Below are 8,267 nucleotides of genomic sequence, written 5' to 3'. Positions count from 1 at the left end.
AGACTTCTAGATATTAAAGAACCCTCAAAAAGCATCTAATCCAACTTCTCCATTTACAGATAATCCTACTGAAATTCAAATAAAGTAAGAACTTGCCCAAAGCTGTGGTGTGTATGAATTTTTTTCCAGGAGAGCATGCACCTTCTTTAGGAAACATTCCTCAAAATATGTGGTCTTAGTGAACTCTGCCAATCATTATACTCCCCATTCCCAAACACACTTCCAGCAAACACAGAAGTCGTAAGGTCCATGCTGGGCCAATCACAGCCTCTCATCTCTCTGACCACATTTATTGTTCCAGGATTTGGAATGTGACCTCAGCTCTTCCCCTGGATTTTTAAAACTTGAGTTGAGGAGTTTTCCTCTCTTCCTGAAGTCTGCCACATGGGTGACCCTGAGTAAATGTTGGTCAGCATAGATATTATTGACAATAATAATAATATTGCAAAATCAATACAGCCAACATCTAGGTACTATAGCATCTGTTATAAGCAATGCCTCCACCTAAAGGACTAAGGCTATATGTAGACATTTTTTAGGCACTAGAACGAGAACTGCAGAGGAAGAAAGAGAACAGGAAAGGCTGGCCTTGCTGGATCCCTGAGATCACAGGGCATGGATGTCAGCAGCCTCTTTCTCCATGCTGGAGCCTGCCCTTATCTTCACAGTCTGTGTCAGCCTTTGCTAGGCAAACCTAGCAATCAGTCCTAAGGCCCTTCAGTTCAATACATACACACTTATTGAAAACTACTGCGTGCCTGCAGGTACTTTATTCCCATTAAATTTGCCATACATTCATTTTGTTCACATTAAAGTCCCACAGTTTCCACTTCTCTAATTTGAGACGTTATATTCTCTAAAACATAGAAGGCAGCCATTTATGTTTTTAAAATAGCCTTTAACCATTTAAATGTACATATATTTTTTATTTGTGTAAATGGAAAGGAGTTGGGGAGAACCCAACACCTTTGCTGAATATTTTAACTGATGGAGGGAAAAAATCAATTTCATGAGAAGGATCTCGTTCTGTTGCATTTCTCATCCCCAGTGAGGTTTATGATGGAAATAATGGCTGGGCATTAGCTATTGTAGTGCGAACAGACGCAATTAAATGGGCCCCAGACAAAACAAACAAGTAAATAGCAGCCTATTTGTGGGTCACTTTATTCTTCACTGCTACCAATAGCTTTTGTTCTTTGGGCATCATAATAAGTGTTTGCTCTGTACCATCTGTGAATGTGTTACTTTTTGCCCGTGAACATCTGGAGACTGATAAGTGTAAGCATTAATGAACCCCCAAAATCTAGGTGATATGGGATTGCCGTCTTGGTTTTAAAGTGGGCCACAGGGTCTCCTCATCTAGTCTTCTGTGCAGTTAATTCCCTCAGGGGCAAAAGAGTGGGCTTGAAAAACCTGAAAAATTGGAAGTTTAATTTTGACAACTTGTTGTTAGTATAGTCATTACTTTCCCTTATAGTTTGGAAAGTAATTCTCATGGTGCCTAAATTACTCTTTGATTGAAGGCGAAATTCCTTCAAGCCACAGAGTTCTTAAAGATAACACGTGGTAATCCAGCCTAGATGAAAGAATAGAATGTTCTGGTGACTTCAATGTCCTAATGGGTTAAAAAAAGGTTGTTTTATATTAAGTTCAGGGGTACACGTGCAAGTTTGTTACATAGGTAAACTTATGTCATGGGGGTTTGTTGTACAGATTATTTCATCATCCAGGTATTACGCCTAGTACTCATTAGTTATTTTTCCTGATCCTCTCCCTCCTCCCACCCTCCAACCTCCGATAGGCCCCATTGTATGTTGTCCCCATGTATGCATCCATGTGTTCTCATCATTTAGCTCCCACTTACAAGGGAGAATATGTGGTATTTGCTTTTTTGTTCCTCTGTTACTTTGCTAAGGATAATGGCCTCCAGCTCCATCCAGGTCCCTGCAAAGGACATGATCTCATTCTTGTTTATGGCTGCATAGTATTCCATGGTGTATATGTGCCACATTTTCTTTATCTAGTTTATCATTGATGGGCATTTAGGTTGATTCCATGTCTTTGCTATCATGACATATGCAAGCGGAATATATAGTTTACTGACTTTCAAAGCATTAGAAAACAATAAAATATAATTAATAATAAAGCATAATTTAATTGCTTGCACAGTTAATTAATATGCAAACCAATTAAAATTTATTTTGATGATTCAAAAGAACTTCAAGATCTTCTAGCTCCTTGAAACTCAAAATGTATTTCCTGAACCAGGAGCATCTACATCACTGGGGAGACTGCAGAATCTCAGACCCCATTCCAGACTGGTTGAATCCAAATCGGCATTTTAACAAGATTCCTGGGTTGTTGGTATGTACTTTAAAGCTTGAGAAGCACTGCTACTACCGTAGGATGGTCAATTTGTAGTACAAGTGTGCCCAGATGTCAATTAATTAATAGAGAGTTTGAGTTAGTAAGAGCCAGAAAGGGCACCTTGTTTGGTATTTTTATCTCCAACACCAATCCATTCAAGTTGGCTTGAATAAATAAAAAGTAATGTACTAATTGACAAAGATTTAGGCCCTGGCATAGAAGAAGCTGACTCACTTATGTAAGTGACTATATCTGCTAAAACATCTTCATTAGAAATGTCTCAGCTTTTAAAGCAAGAGGTCAAGGTAAGAGGCATTTACCATGTGCAAAGATCGTGTTTGGTCAACTTAATTATGTGTGCTTTTATACTTAGGAAAGATAGAAAAATAATTTAAGTCAGGTAGTGTGTTCTGACATATACAGACCTCAGAATTGGAGTGGCCCAGGCTCTAAACAATTGTGTATTGGATTCTTTAACCTCCCTTGTAGCGTGGATGACAATATTGATGATATCTATTTTGTGGACTAAATGCAATAACGTATGCCAAACCACTAACTCATCACCCAGCACGTGGTGACATGTCGATGTGCACTTTCTCTTCTGGGTGTGGAACTTGGTCTTATTTTCTTTCTTTATCCCCCTCTTTTAGAAATAATGTTTAGAAATGTGTCCCAGAACTGTTGTGTCTAGGGGCAGGTGCATTCAAAGCCTGTGAGAGAAAGGAGCTAATGGCATGGCTGGTGAGGAACGTATTGGTCCTGCTCTTCCTGCCCAGCACCCAGACTCCCGAGAGACACGAGGGCGGCGCGCTCTGCCTCGCAGACCCTGTAGGTGGCAGCACTGGGACCGCCAGAGAAGCACAGCCCCGGTTGCAGCAACTCAAGAAGAGCCTGCTGTGCCCCTGACAGTGGTTAAGCCGGGGTCATCTGCCTGAAAGTGCAAATTTTGCTCCCACGCATATAAAAACTGTGCTTTCCAGTTCCTGGAAAGCTATCCTCTCCCCTTCCCTTCCAGCTTAACTCCTCTGCATTTTTTAGCATTTCTATGGCTTCTTTCCCAGCTGTCACCCAAACTGGAGTGCAGTGCTGCAATCATAGCTCACTGCAGCCTGGAACTCCTGGGCTCCAGTAATCCTCCCACCTCGACCTCCCAAAGCACTGGGATTACAGGCTTGAGCCGCAGTACTGGGCTATCAATTCCTTTAGATTCACTCCCAAATATTGTAAATGGTCTTTTGATAGTTGCTGCTTCTTCCCACCTTAGAGTACTCCTGCCCGTACCCCACTGTAAACTGGTAGGTCAAGGCAGGTGTACAAATAATTGTTGGTTAGTAATAATAATTATAAACCTATATGCAGTAAGTGTCTTGCACAGTTCTAAGCACTTTGGGTACCTTAGCTCACTAAGTCTTTAAAACCAGACCGTGAGGCAGGTGGTATGTCAGTAACTTGCACAAACTCAAACAGTAAGCCAGGGTTCCAAACCAGGCAGCCTGATTCCTGAAGTGCCCCTCAAGGGAAGGTTATCAAAGGGGTCGGGGAGAGGAAGCCATCATGTAATTGCCTGCAAATTGAAGAGATCTCAAGGAGAAAATATATCTCTACCTTTCTGGAGAGTTCCTTAAATGCAGACAGTAACTCTACTGGTCCACAAATAATCAAACTACTGGGCTCTGCAATGGCATCATTTGGGCTTTCATCAAGGCAGTAAGACGGTAGAAGGCTTTGGGTCTGGAAACAAAGTAGGGGGGGTCTCATGCAGAAATGCATGTGGAAAGAAAAAAGAGTCCTATCAAGTCATGAGAAAAGCCACATCCAGCCAGATTAACATCAAGGCCTAATCTAGGTGTCAGTTCTGTCATCTATCTCATTACGCTGCCAAAGGAAGCTGGCTTTCCTTTCTTCCCTCCAGGAGACTTAAAACAGTGGTATAGTGAAGGCAAATACATTTTTAATGGGCTTTGCCCATTAAAAAACAAACACCTTGATTCCGATTTTTATTTTTGTGCTTACTTGAAGGCATGCAACTTAACCAGCAATAAACAAGCTAGAGCTGTTTGCACGATGCCCAGCACGCTGTGAGAGCTCCACCGGGGTTTTTGTAGTAAGACTTCTAAGTGTTTCCCTTTCCAGCCTCTATCTGGTCTCATCAGAGAGACTCCACTCCCCTACCTCCTGTTAGACTAACCACGCTGAAGTAGAGCCACATGGTGTAACTCCCTTGCTCACAAACCCTCTGTAGCTCCTACTGCCTAGAAAAGAACATTTAAACCCTTTAAGCTGGCAGAATTGGCCTCACATCTGTCTCCCATTGCCTTCCCACAGCCTATGCTTCAGCCAAGCTATATCACCTGCGGCTGCCCCATGTCTGCTCCAGGACTTTCTGCTCTTAGGATTCACTTTTGCGGTTTCCTCTGCCTAGTTTTGAGATGGCCAATACTGTAACAAACAGCCACACGTGACTTTATGCATTAAAATTAAATTTTAACTTCTCTCCTCCACCACACTAGCCACACTTTAAGTGCTCAGTGGCCACATTTTGGATAGTGCAGATTTTTGCACATTTCCATCATGGCAGAAAATTTAGTGAGACTGTACTGGCCTCTGGGGGATGTCTAAATCCTAACTACCCTGAGGGAACAGTCCAAATGTCACTAATGCAACAACACTACTTCTGTGCCTCTTGAGCTACAAGTTTCCGTTCCCAAAGCAGCTGCCAGTCATGACTCACTCAGCTAACTGCCTACCACTAAGGCACCTGCTGTCCCAGGCCACGTGTCTCTCCAAGTTAAGCACCTCTTTGATTTCTGAGCCACGTGCGATATGGGTAGGTATGGAGGCTAGAAGGTCCAGGAAGTAGGAAATTCCATTTTCTTGCTTTGCTCTCACATTAGTTTGGAACACCTATTATGTATGTCTTAGGCACCATTTCAGGCACTTTACATACATTATCTCATTTGGCCCCCTCAACTCTATAAAGTAGATATTATTATCCCTATCTTACATATAAGAAAACTGAAACACACTGTGGCGAAGTAACTTGCCCAAGATCACCCACCAAGAAATAATCAAATCAAATGCAGAAGCCAGATCTCTGTGACTCAAAGTTGGGGCTTGTTCCATACACAGGCAGCCTGCCACCAAGCCTGTTGGATGACGTTGTCTTCATCACTTTGAAGCTAATAACATGATTTCTGGCAGAGCTTGGAAGTGGGGGTGTGGAGCTGAGGAGGGGTGGATATCCTGAACAAAGGACAAGAGCGTTGTGAGTAGAACTTCCTGAGCCTTTCATTCATGCAAATGTGTTACCTCATTGTCATCCGACTTCTTAACTCTATAAGGTCTCAGAAGAATAAGTCATGTGTGTGCTTGTTTATGTGTGAGGACGTGTAGTCTTAGTACAGGTATGCAGGGTACAGGGAAAAGCATTAGGGGACATGAAACATACAATAAAAAGATTAAACAAAAGTCTTCAATATTTCTACATTGATGTCTCAAAACATTTTGCAGTATTAGGTATATTAGGCAGAGCCATATGAATCGACCATATTTGTAAAAAAAAGAAAGAAAGAAAGTAGAATATTGGCAATATCCAATGATTCAACCCAATAGGTTTTATTATGAAAACAATGATTATTTTGGGATCTAGACCCGAATTTAACACAATCCAAGAATGAAGTCTTTAAAACCCCTGTCAGGTATGTCTCAGGTACAGAAGTGGGACCTTCTGCCTGGAACCCTCATCTGAACTTGGAAGCAGGGTGACCAGGTGACCCTCTGAGCCTTCAAAACTCTATAGGAGCCATACATAATCTAAGCAGAGATCTAAATCCCCTCAAGGAGACTGAGAGGTGGAGACCTGAGGAGAGAACATTAACACATTTAAAGAAAGAATATGAAGATCAGAAGAAGAGGAGGGTCTTGGTAGATCCTAGAATCTTGAAAAAGGAGAATCACAGCCTGAGCCAGGACAGAAGCTGGTCTTGTGCTCTGGGATGCAGGGAGAGCTCGCCTGGCAGAGATAGATGAACCAGGCTAGGGGGCCATTCAGGTAACCCAACTCAGCCTGATTCCTTAATCACAGATAACTCAGCTTCTCTTACAGATTTTTCTTCAGGGGAAGGAATTCCTGTGCTCGGCTAGCCTTCCCTAAAAAGTGCAGCAATTTTGTTAAGGTTGTACAGAACAAGGCAATTCCTGCCCCAGTTTCCCACTCCTGGAGCAAGTTTTCTTCCTCCTCCGACAATGGTACAATCAGAAAGGTCAAAATGAAAGTTGGTTCTACTTTTGTGAGAACCCGGTGTAGAGCCAGAGAAACCAAACATGTTTAGTTGAGTACAGAATTCTTATGTCAATACCAGGATCTAGTACCCTGTGACATTTTTCTTCATATTAAACTGATGCCCGCAGTTTAATGAACACATTTAAGCATCACTACAAGCCAAGCTACCTTGAAATGTTGTTAACAGCCCATATCAAAGACAAAAATGAAAGCGAAGAAAAGTTTACTCTTGTAAATATACATGGTCATATATCTTCTCATACAAATGGGTTACTTCTGACCTACAAAAAGCAACTCACCTTAAGATTTAAGTGTAGGTAGAATTTTTTAAATAGTGTATGGATTTATTTTAGTTATCTTTACAGAAAGACATTGAAGTCTTGCAAGAAAGATCTCCATAGGCTCAAATCCGTTTGCTTTGTGATAAATTGGCATTGAAATGTTGAACTAATGTTTCAATATTTTTGTTTAATACTTTTAAAACCTTAGTAGCCAAATCATCTCATCTTCGGAATTTTCTAAAAATCTAGAAACCTTAGGGTTTAAATAATGTGTTTCTGTTACATATTTCTTACACTCAACTGTGATTTTTGCAATTACATTTTTAAAAATATTCGTGGGAGAGCCTAGAAGCAGACTTAATCACCCAACCATATTCAGAGCCAAAGAACAGGTTATTTTTTAATTTAAGATGTTGAGACAGACCTGTTATGAAAATACGCAAAAGGGTTCTCATTGTTTTTCAGGAAAATGTAAATAAAGGGGCCCAGTGGCTTATGTTTTTTATAATCCTTAACTCCAAAAAAATCAAAATGCAAGAGAATGTTTGAAGTCTGGTTAATATTCAAAAATAAACTCTGAACAGTATGGTCTTTCTCTGAAAGATGAAGAAAATGAATTCCAAGGAAGGGAGCTGACTTCCCCAGTAATTCCTTAGCATAGTCTAGCAGGTATCACCATCATTAACTAAATTACCTGATGGCTTCTGGTCCCCAGGCTCTGCCTCCACCCTGGGCCATGCCTCAGCCTCCTCCTCACTCTCTTAGGCTCGTCTATATTTGCAAACCAGTAAGCCAAAGATTGCTGCTGATGCTGCTGATGGTGAGACCACGGGTAATAGTCAGTGGACCAGAAATGAAGCAGGAACTCCTGCTTCCCTCTGCTCCTCTCCTTGAACACTTCTGGCCTCAGCACTTAGCACTGTCTGCACAGTAAGATTGTGATGTATTGTCCCAAGGGGTAGGGACAATAATTCAGATAACTTTTAATCTTCCTGCACTAAAACTGCAGTTGTCTCACAATCCCATTGAAAACAAAAATGAAAAAAAAAAAAAGAAAAAAAATTTTGAAGCCTGAATACCGGTGGACTTTGGGCATGGTGAATACCCTTAATTTTTCCAGCCTCCTGGCAATTTGAAGAGATAATGTGGATAAAGTTCATTAAATAAGCAAATCTGCTACGATTGTTTTTATTGGATGCAAGTGAGTGTGTGTGTGTACACAGTTGTAGAAAATGAGCAGGACCAGCGTTTTGGTGTTGTGATCTGTGCAGTCACAGGGCCCTCATCTTGGTTTACTGCTTTACCGCTGCTGTGTTGATATTCTTGATAACTTTGAA

General features: G+C 41.3%; 1 annotated feature.

Moving 5' to 3' along the window:
* Positions 3,107 to 3,156: an enhancer, noted in NCBI's record as "active region_25836". NCBI's record gives its function as "activates an Ori minimal core promoter by ATAC-STARR-seq in GM12878 lymphoblastoid cells {active_cell/tissue: GM12878}" and the evidence as "EXISTENCE:reporter gene assay evidence [ECO:0000049][PMID:35858748]".

This window comes from Homo sapiens, chromosome 7 (assembly GCF_000001405.40).
Source record: "Homo sapiens chromosome 7, GRCh38.p14 Primary Assembly".
In the NCBI taxonomy this organism is placed as follows: Eukaryota; Metazoa; Chordata; class Mammalia; order Primates; family Hominidae; genus Homo; species Homo sapiens.
Note: the sequence above shows the minus strand (reverse complement) of the source record. Positions and strands in the feature narration are given on the sequence as shown.